Below are 14,517 nucleotides of genomic sequence, written 5' to 3' on the forward strand. Positions count from 1 at the left end.
TGAGGTCTCACCATGTTGGCCAAACTGGTCTCGAACTCCTGACCCCAACTGACTCGCCTCAGCTTCCCAAAGTGCTGGGATTACAGGCATGAGCCACCGTGCCTGGCAGTTATTTATATTTATTTGCTCTTATGTTTCCAGGTTTCTTCTAACTTTAAAATTCTATGACTGGAACAAATACATATGTGAACTTGGAAGTAGATCTTTCCCCTGTCCAGCCTTCAGATCAGACCACAGCCTTAGTCACCACTCCAATTGTGGCCTCCTGAGAGACACTGAGCTAAGGGCATCCAGGTTCTTGACCCACAAACTGTGAAATACATGTTGCTTTTAAAAAATTCCAAGAGTGGCCCTTAAATTTCTTTGGGACTATACCGTGTAATAGCGACTGACTCAAAAGGGTAGTCTGGAAACCTAATCTTAGCCCCTGGTCACCTCTAGCTAGTGTGCACAGACCTCAGATCTTGTCAGTCTCATTTCCCTACCTGTTAACGTGAGACAGTTGGGCAGAAGAACTTTAGCTTCCCTTAAATGCTACAACTCAGCGTCTCTATTAATCATACCGTTTATTCATCAAAATGAATACTGATAAAAATGACAAGTAGAACACACCCTAGATGTTCAGGCCTCTGGAATTGGTGGCAGCGTTCCAGCTTCCTTTCTGCCTGTAACTGTGAGTAAGTCCTGCTTTACCTCCTTCCCACCCCCCGCACCCACCAACAGCTCTCTATCATAAGCTAATCAGCTTGAAATAATTGTTAGGGCACTTCTGTGTATGGCCTGTGCATGTGCCAGTGTGTACACCGTGCAAGCTGAGCTGTTGAGGTTCTGGATGTGCATACAGCCCTGGCACCGGAAGGTTTGCCTCTAGCATTTTGTGGACTAACTCTGGCAGTACACAATGGGAAGAAAACCTCTTTCCAAGTGTGAGCCCTTCTCTCTTCTCATTCCCAAGGAGGTGTGTCCAGATCCCTTTGCCAGACAGCTACTTTACAGGAGCATTGGAGAGCAGGCAGCTAACTTTCCCCAACAAGCAGCTGGATTTACGTTGGCAAATCAATCCCTCTCAATAAAATGTTATGTGACCATCTTCCCAGCCCCCCGTTAAAATCCCTTCATTTTTTCGAGCAAGCGAACTAGTCAGAGAAGACAGAAAAGTTAAGTAAAGAAAGTGGCAGAAAAGTGAAGCAAAGCAACAGCCCGGGAGCGTGGCGGGGGGACCCGCGCGGGGACTCGGGTAGGCTGCAAACGCTGGGGAGATGCCACAGGAGCGCCTGCCTTCCCAGCTTCTCCTTTCTCTCGCCGAGGGTCTCTGGGGTTCAGCGCTCCCGGCGTTTCGGCGACCTCCGGGTCCGCCCTGTCCCCTCCCAGCTGGGGAGCTGAGCCCGGCTCTGCGCCCATCGCCGACCCCGGCCACTCTCCCTTCGCTGCTCGCTCCAAAAGCGCCTGTCCCGCCCCGCGGGGCGACTTCTCCCTTTCGGCCCTGGGGTTGAAGATCCTGTGTGGGGCAGCTGCGCCTTCGGGACAGCCCCAGCCGCGGAGCGCCCAGACCAGGGCAGCCGGAGTCGGGTCATACGCCGCACGCCGCCGGGGCCGCCGCACCTGAGCCCAGCTCCAGTCACGCCGGAAGCGCGGGCGGAGCGCACGGGTCCGGGGAGAGTCGCCTGCGCCCGCGAGGGGGACCCAAGTACCTAGGGTGGTGGCCGAGTCCCGCCTCCCGCCAGCGGGGGCGAGGACCTGCGACGCGCACCCCTGCCTGGCCCGGTCTCCTCAGCACCAGCCCCACGCACACCCTACTTCCTCAGCTTCTCGCCCTCACCCTGCCAACTTCCCTGCGAGGAGGGACCTGCCGCCAGCCTGCTTCCTCGTCCGCAGGCCCTGCGCTGAACGCTGCCGCGCCCAGGGTTCACCTTGCGCCGTCGGGAAAGCCCATGAACTCTCCAGAAACGGCGTAAAGGAGGGTCCCGCCGCGGCGCAGGGCTGGGGCGCCTGGGTTCCCCCTGGGTGGAGCAGCGGCAGCAGAGCGGGAAAGTGGTGGAGGATGATCTTGCGGCCAAAGGGGACCTCGGCGCAGTAATGTCAACATGTAAGTCTCACCTTTCAGCTTGGAATTCCTTCACTCTTTTATCTGTGTCCACCTTCTGTCGCCCCCTCCCCGACCACCCCACCCTCAAGAGAAATGATTTTATAAGGACTTCAACTGCACGGAGGGAATAAACCGGTTTGTCTTCAGTTTGCCCCTCGAGGCACTGAGGAGTAGGACTATTGCCAAGTGGAGTTGTGACATGTGTGTGTGGCTGTTTTTTTTCCCCCAGCGAGGTAAACCTCACATTTGGGCGGTGTAAAGCCTAATAAGAAGGGCAGGGCTTCAAGAATGGGGAAAACGTGTTTTCAATTCAAATTAAACAAGGAGTAACAGGCACCGCTCCTCAGTCCAGAGGCCTGGCCCTGCCAAGAAGGCGCTCTCCGGAATCAACACCTGGGGGCTTGGAAGGTACTAGTATGCCGAGAAAATGTTGACTTTACACATTGTCACCATTGACTGTAGAAGTTATTCTTGGATCTTTGGGGTGTTTGAATTTTTTTAAGGTGTGCAGAAAATGTTTTCAGTGTGCTTTGTAGTTTAGGAAGTAATTAAGGGTTACGCCACGTTACGTGATAGGATTTGAGGGGACTTCCATAGACTTATGGGGGGCGTGGGGAATTGGGGCATTGAAACAGAGAAACCTAAAAGGTTTTGCCTCCATAGAATTGTCATCCTAATGGTGAGGTGGCGCACAGCGACCCCATGAAAGGGTCGCCAAGCACCGTCTGGCTTTCCAGAATGGGAAAAGGAAGATTGTACTCCAAAGGGCCAAGCTTATTTTTGTGGCCAACTAAGAAGTTTCTTTTTCTTGTAATAGGTAATTTTCCTTCTGATGTTTTAGTTAATCTTGGACGGACACCGTGACAGACATTTTATCCCCTTCCACTAACTCATGTACAACAATTTCTAGAACTTGGTACTTAACACTCCTTCCCCCAACTCCTGGATCTTACATGAATTTACTCTTTCAGTTCAGTACATGGGGAAAGACCTGCCCCCTAGGTCCTGTTTTTCCACACTTTCCTGCACTTTCCATTCCCTACTTCCCCACTCCCCAACACACATTTTAAAATAGGAGAAAGAAAGGATAGTGCCCACAAGCCTAGCACTCTGTAACTCTGTTCCAGGTACTGTGAGATGTAATCAGAAATGAACCACTTATTTTTACTGAAACTGCATGTGAAATAATTCCACACCTGGGAGTTTTAAAGTTTCATTTATGCCAGTGGAATCGGCAAGGTACAACTTGAAAAAATTTATTTTGGGATACAGCCAGCATTTTCATATAAGACTTGTTCTCATATACAGGCTACACATTTTGAAGTAATATGAGCTTGTTTTCAACTTCAGTTTTTCTTGAAAATATACTAGGGATTTTACAGCAGGTATTTGCCCAGTTTTTTTCAGCTTTCCTAAGCATTTAGATCTTATGAGAAAAAAAGCATATTACACATGAAAGTATAAATACCTGTTTTTAAAATAAAAGATGTTAAACTTATCAACAGGTAATGTAAAAATTTCCTGATCATGAAATTAAGTTATATAGTCCATTTGAATTCTTCGTGATTAAAAAATCATGTCATTATAGGGTAAAAGCGTGAATATGAAATCACATAGAAAATAGGGCTTGATACCTAGATTTGAGATTCTTTTTTGAGCTATTTTGACTGAAAGTTTTCATTTTTTACCAGATGGTAAGTATATTTTTTTCCATTTTGCTATTTACGATTCATATGGAGTGGTTTAGGATGGCCTGATTCTTTTTAGGTATTGGTTTGTTAGAATATATGGAAAGAATTACCAACCTTTCCAAGATTAATATTCTTACTATCTTGTTGAAAAATGTTAAAATGGGTAACATAAGCTATATTATCCTTTAAATTTTAATAGATTCAAGTTCAGAAACTACTTAAGTGTATTTTCTGCCTCCTCCTTGTGGAGAAAGTGTATTTGTATATTGTTATACTCAGGTTCTTTAATTATAGACTTTACGAATATATTTGGGAGTTGTAGTGACTGCATATTTTTCATACCCTAAGAAATTTAGCAGATGTAGCAAGACTTGCATTAATTCGTCTCAAGCTGCATGAAGCTACTGTTCCATTTATGGCTTATATAAATTACATGACATTGTGCTTTTTCAATATGAATGGTGAATAAGGCTATTGTCTCTTGGCTTATGGGAAATATTAGAAGCCTGTAGTTTTGTAGCCTAACTGGACACATGACTCTGAAGTCTGGAAATAATGATTTGAAAGAGAATTAGTTTACATATTAAAAATAAACTAATAACTGCTTTTTAAAACCTGACTATTTTTCTAATGGCCTATATATCTTACAGAGTTTACGTTTCTGATGGGATGATTTTTAATCAAAAGTTTCTACAGTCTATTTAGAATTTAGACTAAATGGAAAAGACTTTGTTCAATGTTTGTGGTATGCATGGGCAAAAACTGTATCTTTCCATTTTCATTTCTAATTGGATGAGATTATTATCTACATTGGATGATGTTAAGATGCATACTAATTGACAGGGGTGGTGCCATATAAAGGATATATTGATCAAAAAATGTGGCTACCTGAGTGTCATGTTACTTTCCATTATAAGCATTACTTGAAATGGAATTATCTGGAATGCCTTAAAAAAAAGCTTCAAGATCCATTTATTTAAAACAGAGCAAATATGACAAAAGTTTAACATATTTAAAATAAGTCGTTAAGAAATCACAAATCAATGAAGAAAATATGTATATTTGTAATAGAAAACCATACAAATGACTTGAACATGACAATCCAAATAAAGGAAATTCAAATGAGATGCAACTTCTTTTATCAAAGTGACAGGGATTAAAGCAATAATACTCAATAGTGAGGAGAGGGCCGTGACATGAAAACAGTGATATGTTTCAATGTAAATGTGAATTTTTTAACTCTTTTAGAAATCATTTTAAATCTACAGGACGTTTTCAAAAATAAAAGTTATGCAAAGAACACACCTCTATACCTTTTACCCAGAATCACCTATTCTAATTATTGGCCCCATTTGTTTAATCATTCCCGTTCCTCCTTTCCTGCCCCCCCCCACGAGCCCCTCCTGTACACACACACACACACACACACACACACACACACACACACAATTTTTTTCTGAACCATCTGAGAACAAGTTGTATGCATAAGGGCTTAAGAGTTTAATTTTTCAATTGAAATTTTAAAGATATTTCTAACTTTAAATATAGTTGCCAAAAAATAGAGATCCTGTATACCTTTGACCCAGTTCCCCCAATGGTAGCATTTGGAAAACCTGTAGTACAATATTAAAACAAGTATATTGACACAATTTACTTCTCTTTTTCAGATTTCCCAAGCTTTATGTGTAGTCATTCTTGTGTACCTATGTATGTAATTCTTAAGGCTGAGTTTTACTCTCACCTCTAGTATAAGCCAGTTATGCATGTTACTGTTCAAATAAAGTTTAAGATTTGTGCAGGGTTGAAGAATAAATCAGCCTTTTTGAAGTGGAGGTACACCCAGCTTAATAAAGGTACTCAAATCGAGTTAATAGAATAGCACTTTTTTTTAAATACATTGCTTTGGCTCAGGAACATGATCTTTAACCAAAAAAAAGAAAAACGATTATGAGCAGACTTGAATAAACCAAATTACTGTTCTTTTCACTCTGGAAGAATTAAGGTATTTTCTCTGCCATTCCCCAGTCCCTTTTATGAAAAGATTTGCCATAGAAACAGAGTTGGGATATGGCGAAAGCAGTTATTTCTGACAGTTGCTGGTATTGATTGCATTAGTATCGTATCAATTTCTCCACTAATATCAAAATTTCTTCACTAATTTCTCTTTAAATTGTGACTTTTGGGGAAACCAGTAGGAGTAGAGAGATGGAAAGTGGTAGGTTTTTAAGATTATTTCGGTGATCCATTTGGATAAAATAATGCCTACAAGGAATCATATCGACATTTAAAGCAATTCTGTAGAAGGGTTACATTCTAAAGCTTCCGGAAACAGGACTAAAGCAAATTGTATTTTGTAGCCTATGTAGATTGAAAAAGAGAACAAGTTTGCAACAGAGGTAGTGTGGGTCTCAAAAAGGACGCTAGGTTGGAAGCCAAGTGACAAAAAGGATCTTTTGGCTCTGACACCACTGATCTTATGATCTTGGGCAAGTAGTTTAGTATCTCAGTTTTTCACCTGTAAGATGATAGGTTTTTTTTGCATAATCTTTAGGTTTCTTCCAGATATAGGAGTCTATGACTGTCTTTTACTTAAAAAATGTTCCTGCTGTCTTCAGTAGAACTTTAAGGCCACAATCAAAATGGTGTAAGAGTGTACTTTTGTGTGTGTGTGTTTTTTTTCCTTGTAGTTCCTATTTAGAACCTTAGTAACCCTGTTCAGGATTTTCCATTCTTGGGAGATAGTTATTTAAATCTCAGGGATATATCTTTGCTAAGTGATCCCCTGAGAAAACACATAGTACTTTCCTTCCTCTGTTCTATTCTTAATTTATTTGTTTATCTTCTTCAGTAAACAGTAAAGTGGATGAAAGTTGGCCTGTCCTATGGTTTGTTTAGTTACAAGTGCTTGCCTTGTTGGGTTTCTTTTCTGTCTGAAGTGATAGAGTCTGGAGACATGGAATGCCTTAAGCCATGGTCATCATTTGCAACTGATAGGATTGCAGGCAGCTTTGATAAGACAGCTTCAGAATTGAATATGGAATCCCTAAATGCTGAAACCTTTTATAGCAAAGAAGTTGCCTGAGCGCATAAACAGTGTTTTGTGGCCAAACTAATGAGCAGGAATCTATGAGTATTATTTAGAGATTAAATGAATCTGAGAGAAAGCTATTATTCACACATTGATGAAAGATAATTGTCGTATGTCAAAGAGTGTAAGAAGCTGGGAATTCTCTTGAGCTGATACATCCTTCTGTTAATATCTGTAAGGGTGACAGCCAGGTTTGATTGGTCTGTCTCTTTATTTTTCTGGACCTAAGTTTCCTTTTTTTGTGAAATGAGGTTAGATTAGACTTCAGCATTGGTCCTCCTAGCTCTAAATTTCTTTGAATATGTAATTGTGCTTTTGTTTTAAAAGCATACTCATTCATCCAGCATCAGTAGGAAACAGGCCTATTCTTCCAAATAAGTGAACTTTCTATGGGACGGAAGTTTGTCACCTACCGTTTTAAAAGCCCCTACAGATTAACCTGTACTGTTATTTCCAGTTCTTTTTGGTGGGTAATATCCTATTTACAGAAGAAAAGACTAAGGGTTTAAGTACTTGCCCTACAAACCACACAGTTTATAGAGGCACCAGGAGGTAAGTTGTTGCTGTTTGAGAGTCCACATCCATTATTATAATTACTAATTTCTTACTTACTAAAACATACTTCTCATTAGCAGTACTTCTTTTAATCTCAAATATTTTGGATGGATGGATTTGAAAACAACTTGCAAACAAGAGATACTCTTCAAATCTTAACCTTTTCCTGGTTTCGAATTTTCCTAGTTTAGAATTTCCATCAGGAGAGCTGCATGATTTTAGAACTTCTAGTTTGGTGAATACTAAAACATGGCTTGAGTTTCAGATACTACTTAACATTTCTTTATTCATAGCAAACATGAATAACCAATTTCATTTCTGGCCCAGGTGATCCCAGAAGTGACCACAAAGTCAATTGATTGGTGTTGGCATATGAGATTAATCTTGTTTACTCTTGCTTGAGTCTTTTCCTTTGATTTCACTGTGGACAGAATAACACCACTTAAATGAGAATGCCTGGAATGATAGTAATCATAATAATAGCTAATATTTATTGAGTACTTGCTGAGTGTCAGGAACTGTTCTTGAAAGGCATCGTCTTATGTAATCATCTCAGCAACACTGTGGACTAGGTTCATTGCTGTTCCTTATTTTACAGGTAAGAAATAGGAGGCACAAGGCGATCAAGCAATTTCCCAAGGTTTGCAGCATAGTTCATAAGTAGCAAACCAGATCTGTCTCACTCTAAGCTTATTCTCTTGGCTATGAGATGGAGATGGTCTCTTAAAGTTTAAAAATGCAGTCTTGAGGCAAGTGCAGGAGTCCTTTGATGTCTAATTTTGCTCATTTGAGTATTTCTCTTTCTGCTTTTCTGTTTAGTATTACACATTTTACTCAGGTAAGCAAACTGCAGGCTTTAGGGTAGATATTACTGTAACCCTAAACTATCTTATTAGTTACTCCTTGCTAAAATGAGTCTCAGTTACTACTTATAGGCAAAGTAACTCTCTCTCAGGGGATTTTCAGGTTTCCTGGAGATTTCTGACTATTGCTTACTTACCTTCCTGCCTCACAACTCTTCTGCTCACCAGTCCACTTATGGTCCTTTTTGATGACTGATTTTTGTAATTTCTTCCTTCTTTGCTGGTTTGCCTTTTTTTTTTGATGGTGCTGATTCAATGAACTGTATTATACCATTGTTTTGAGACAATATAATATGAATGTTGCTTTCTAAATCATTATTAAATATAATTTTCAGAATTAAATGAGTAAGTCATGCAGAAGGATAGTTGAGTTTTCAAAGCACCACCTCTCCATCTAATGTCATTTACTACTTTCTATAATACCTGGTGTTCAATAGCCATTTAAAAACTTGATAGCTATTTTATATATAAAGACTTCACCTTTTTTGGAATGTTAATGCTTCAATGTATCACTTTAGGGGATAGAACAGAGTTTGGGCAATTTGGTTTTATGTTAAATATTTCCGTTTGTAAAGCAGCAGACATTAAAGAAAACATTTCCTTACAATCTGAATTTCTGGGAGATTATAAGGAAGGTTGATAGAAACATCCTTCTTCTACCCAGATGAACATGAGTCTGGTGAGGCTGAAGCTAACATTGCTTTATTTTTTAATAAATAATTTTTTTGAATTGTCTGACTACCCATTTTCATGCAGAAATCACCTATTATATATATTTTGATAAGGAAACTGCTACCATGTGGCAAATAAAATGCATGGATTTATTTTCTTTTGCTAATTAGCTTGAAGGAAGTGATCAAGTCGTCATCATCTTTTAAGTTCCTCCTCTATTTGGAAGCAAGGATGAAAAAGGTTTATTTTCCAGTCCCTACTGGAAACCTATAGTTTTTACTTTATTTGTCATAATGCTTTACTGAATGTTGAATGTCCTAATTGCCATCTTCTTTCTTTGCAGGATGTTTCGCTCAGATCGAATGTGGAGCTGCCATTGGAAATGGAAGCCCAGTCCTCTCCTGTTCTTATTTGCTTTATATATCATGTGTGTTCCTCACTCAGGTAAGACTCTTCCTCTTTCACACCTGGAATTTAATCATGATGACATTGTCTGCAGTGTAAGCATGCTACTTATTTATGTTGCCTTACTTTTACTTACTGCCTTTTTTTTTTTTCCTGTTTCTATCCTTATAGGGCAGTTTTTTTCTGTTTATGATTTGTCTGTTCTCTTTGAATTTTGTGTGAATACTGTTTCTTTGATCATTGTTTTATTTTCTAATGAGTTTATTTCTTTAATCTTTGTTGTCTTTTATTTATTTACGTAGCCCATATTGAGTGATGAGATAACTACATAAATCGCATTTAAAAAGTGGTAGCTGTTTCTTCTACTGTTGAATAAATATACAGTACTTCTCTTTTCAAGTTTTCATGTAGTTATTTATGGAAAGTACAGACTTTGCTAGTTTCATTCATCCTCATTTTATTAGCATGTTGCAATATGAATTAGGAATTGAAAATTCAGTTTTTAGACTATGCAGTTTAATTTACTTGATATGAAAGTTAATTTTAATTACAGCATTTTTGGAATTAAAGTATTTTTTCTAGTTACATTTTTTTGAACTTTGAAATAAGATCTTGGTGGCTGTTGAAAAAACTAAATTTTCTGTAAACAGCAAATTATATGAATAAGCCAATTAGAGGCTGAGGAATGTGAATGATATCTAAAAGTAAACTGTTTCTTCATTTTCTGGTTTTGTCACTGAACTGAGCAAATTTATTTAAGTCCGTTCTATTTTATTCTTTGTTTTCTCCTGGTGTATGTATTAGGCTTATTATGTTTTCCTTTAGAATAAAGCTAAAATGTCAATTAAGAAAATCATAATTCTTGAAGTCTTATGTATTTATTACTTGGAATTTAATCAAGATTTATTAATTTCATATTTATAATATATATTATCATAAAGAATACATTTTAAACATCGTGGAAATAGATTATCTGCTAAAATTGCTTATTCACGCATCAAGAAATTAAACTTGTATTGAGATGTGAAAACTTTTTTTTCCAAGCCTCCAAGTGTTTTAAGAGTTTCAGTTATTTACTTGCAAAATCCCTGGCACTTATTTAATGGCTTCAAAACAGAACAGATCTTTCAGTGAATTTTGTGTGTGTGTTTGTTAGAATTTTATTGTAAAGCCATTTTCCTTATTACTGTCATTATTAGAGGAAACACACTTGTAAACAGATTGGAAAATTAAAGATAGGTTTTATGATGTACAGTGTTGAACTACTTTCAAAAGTGATTCTCTAAGAATCAATTACATGATATGAGATAAATTATGAGATTAACATTATTAGTTGAAGTCTGTTTACTTTCATTTTTGTTAGGTCATGTATTTATATATTTTTAAGGCTTCTTGAGACCACGGCACCTCCAATTTGGACTTTTAGATGTCAACATTTTAATGAATATATGCACATTCTTGAATTTTAATCATTTGAATAAATGAAGCACATGTTTTTAGGCTAAAGAAAAGGAATCAACTTGTCTGGGACCAGGCTGAGGGAAGAGAATCACCTGGGGTACAAAATTTAAGGAGGCACTCATTCTCAAGGCCACCAGAATCAAAGTACTTACACTTGTTAAGTTACTCTCTCACACAAGATTTTCTTATTTTTTGTTATTTCCTGCATTATTAAACTTTTTGTGTATCAGATAAGGTCTTGTGACAGATAGTTTTCTGTTTCACTTTTGAGGCCAGAACATTTTGTATTAATACCTATATCACTCTAATAATGACTCATTTAAAATGCCACCACCTCACAGGTAAATATCTGAATTCACAAACACTCTTTAGAGGGTCTTATAGGTATTTTAATATAAAATTTTTGCCTTATAAGATGACTCAGCATGGGGTTCCTTATAATGAACTCCCAAGCCATTTAAAATAATGCATATTACAACTTTGGATATATATGATATTTAAAATCTTTTTTTGCATAAATCAAAGTGTAATACTGCTATGTTTTTGAAGACTAGTGCTTAACTGATGTTATATCCCTGTTTACACTTTTGTTGACTAATTTTTGCTTCTCTAGGTAACACCTAGATGATCTCAAGTGGCTTTAAATGGTATCTTGATGCCAGTGTCCACTAAATCTGTATTGTCCATCCTGGCTCCTAGAGCCATCTCTTGAGTTGCTGATCCTCATCTACCCTTGGATTTATAATAGGCCTTAAACTTTAAATGTGCAAACAGGACTCCTAGTTCCTATCTCCTATCCTCAAATCTACTTCTCTTTTAACCTTTAAAATTCCTCCTTCTATCCTCCTGTTCTCTCCTACTCTCACTATTTTGTAGACACATTGGCCTTTCTATTCCTTGTCTATGCCTTCCTAGTCTCCTCTTCTCCCTTACCTGGTTCTTTTTGACACTCAGATCTCAGTTTAATTATTACCACCTCATGTAATCCTTCCCTATCCCTCAATTCAAAGGAGCGCCACTGGATCATATCATATTCTTAGTGATAATCTGCATAGATTTTGGTTTTTGTCTTGTTTGTTAATGTTTTGTTAATTTGACTGTGATAGCTAGGTTAGGAGATTGGCAGATCTCTTTTGGTTGTTACGATTGACACTTAATTCAGATGATTAAAATTAGAATCTTATGGTTTGATTCCAATAACATCCATAGTTTAATTCTTATAATAGAATTGCAGTATTAAGTTTGCTAGTAGGTAAGTTAACATTTATATTTCATGGGACACTTAAAAAAGAAATATGTGAGTTTTGTGACCTTCTGGATTTTCAAAAGTAGTGTGGAAAAATAGCTCACTGTGTCTTGACAAGTGATGATTATAACCTTTAATAAGAACTACAATAAAATAACAATTTAGAATATTTACACTTGTACCATAGAAGTATGCCTTAAAACAATAAAAATGCGATTTATTTTTACCCACTATCTTGAAACCATTTAGAAAAGTTGACAACATCCAATACAATCAAAATTGTTAGGAAAAGAGTGTGCACTGACACTGTTGACTCTTTTGGGAGAGTAATTAGGTAACACATAAAAAAATCAAGAATGTGTACATTGGTGTATCACTCTCACATGTAGGCATATACCCTATAAAATAAAAAAACATAAATATGTAGAGAAATCTGTATCACTGTGTTAACTAGCATTGCAATAGCAAACTGGAAGAGACGTTGTTCACTGAAAGGGGGATGGTTATGTGCATTATTTTACATTCCTTCTGTGGAATACTGTGCAGTGCCTCAAAACAATGTGGTCAAACTGCCTATTTGCTTGGGAAGCTATTCATGATAATAATGTTAAATTAAAAAGCAAATTATAATCAGGCACTGTGGCTCACACCTGTAATCCCAGCACTTATATAAGACTTTGTAAACATGTTAACAAAACATGGAATGATACTCATCAGGCTTCTAAAATGGGTTGTCTCAGAGGCACAGTTTGGAGAAACAGGAGGGATGACGATGGAACTTCATACACCTCTGAATTTTTTTGCCTTCTTACAACGATCAGGTATTACTTTACTAATCTGAAAAAAAGCTGATGAATTTCTTTTTTTAAAAAAAGCCACATAAAAATGACCAGAGAGGCATAGAAGTGTATGAATATTTAAATTTTGTTAGTTACTTAACTGTTACTCTGGCTCTTTCTTCACTTAATAGGAATCTCTAAAAGGAGTTTCAGATAATAACTTCTTTTTTGTGGCCTAACACTCCATGACTCTGAAGATGAATGATGATATCTCAAGCAGACAGAGGGTTATGGATTCAAGTAGAGTGGGAAACAGCCAAGAGCCAATACATTTCTAAGCAACCAGGAGCTTGTTTCCACACAGATCGTCTTAGTCATGAGCAGTGCAGGAGGAGCCTCCCTTCTCTCCTGAAAATCAGTGATATCAGCAGATCGTTTCAAAGCACAGTGTTACTCTGATATCTATGAGACATCAACAGCTACCAGGGGAAATGTTTCTGAAAGTAAAATCTGGCCTGAATTGTGTACTTTCTAGCCCAGGGCACAGCATAGTTCTGGAAGGCAGGTGATTGTGTAAAAAGAATCTTGTGCTTTTTTGTTTGTTTATGTGTTAATTTTTCTTATCATAAAATGAACAGTTATTTAGTAGTATGTGTTAATTTTTCTTATGATCATAACATCAACAATTATTATTTAGTATCAATTACATTGCAATCTATATTTAAGAATTAAATCAAAGTTTGGTCAGAGGACTTTCAAATGTCTAAAAAAATCCTTTTATGAATGTCCCCTTTTTAAAAAAAAATTCAGTATTGTGTATTGAAAATTACTAAGTGTGTCTTAAAGGTCAAAAATAAGGCTCTAATTGTACAGACCATTTTGCATATAATGATAAATGTGTGTATGTGTGTTTCACTCAGAATCAAAGTGCTCCAAATTACTGTCTGAAGCTTTCAGCTAAAAGGCTGTTTTTCTGTTTCAGACCTCAGATTAGCGTCAGTGTGAGTGAATAAAGTCTAGAAAGTTTTATACAGATATTTCCTTGAGGCAACTTTCTAGATAATTTTCTTCATACACCTTTGGATGGCCTGAATTCGATGTTGTTCAATATGAAATCATACATTGAGGGGTCATAAAGCCAATTACATAAACGTAGAAGGGGAATGACCTGCCTTGTCACCACAGTGACAATCTCAAGTGACCCGCAGTGTGATGGGACCACTAATGAAACTGACACCACTTAAATGATATTAGGAAGAGGGAGATGTCAGGTGTCCTACTTTTTATTGGTGAGATCACGCTTGTCTCCAGGCATGACTGTCATAATGTGGAGAGGGTTGGTAAACAGAGAATATTTAGACGAGGCACACCAGCATACTGATGAGTCTCAAGCTATCTGAGGAATTTTTGGAGCAGTCCCTGTCAATACTGGGTGAGTGAAACCTCTTTAGAGGTGGGCTGCGACTGTGAACTCCCTTTGTGTCAGCTACAACGTTCTTGCTTTCGTGTATCAATTTGTTTGTTTTTTAAGTACAAATTTTGTTGCATTGTTGCATTAAAAATGGATGTAGAGAAATGGCACATTTACTTTAAAGTAATAAAGTCAGTAGGAATAAGATACTGGCCTTTAGATATCTGGAGAGTGGTCATCTGGAAGTGATAACAGACTTC

General features: G+C 37.8%; 1 protein-coding gene across 16 annotated transcripts in view, besides 1 other annotated feature; it reads left to right on the forward strand.

Annotated features, from left to right (window-relative positions):
* Nucleotides 1,552-1,691: a silencer, noted in NCBI's record as "silent region_17614". NCBI's record gives its function as "represses an Ori minimal core promoter by ATAC-STARR-seq in GM12878 lymphoblastoid cells {active_cell/tissue: GM12878}" and the evidence as "EXISTENCE:reporter gene assay evidence [ECO:0000049][PMID:35858748]".
* ADGRG6 (adhesion G protein-coupled receptor G6) overlaps nucleotides 1,762-14,517 on the forward strand; it is a 144,255-nt gene continuing 131,499 nt past the window's right edge. For 9 of the 16 annotated variants that reach the window (XM_005267061.4, XM_006715516.3, XM_047419106.1 and 6 more), the window contains exons 1-2: nucleotides 1,762-2,086; nucleotides 9,299-9,399. In XM_005267061.4, the coding sequence (XP_005267118.1) occupies nucleotides 2,085-2,086; nucleotides 9,299-9,399 (103 nt within the window). In that variant the 5' untranslated portion in view covers nucleotides 1,762-2,084. Of the gene's footprint in view, nucleotides 2,087-2,431; nucleotides 2,495-9,298; nucleotides 9,400-14,517 lie in introns of those variants that run through there. The other 7 variants (XM_047419103.1, XM_011535964.2, XM_047419107.1 and 4 more) reach the window with 1 other exon arrangement.

This window comes from Homo sapiens, chromosome 6 (genome assembly GCF_000001405.40).
Source record: "Homo sapiens chromosome 6, GRCh38.p14 Primary Assembly".
In the NCBI taxonomy this organism is placed as follows: domain Eukaryota; kingdom Metazoa; phylum Chordata; class Mammalia; order Primates; family Hominidae; genus Homo; species Homo sapiens.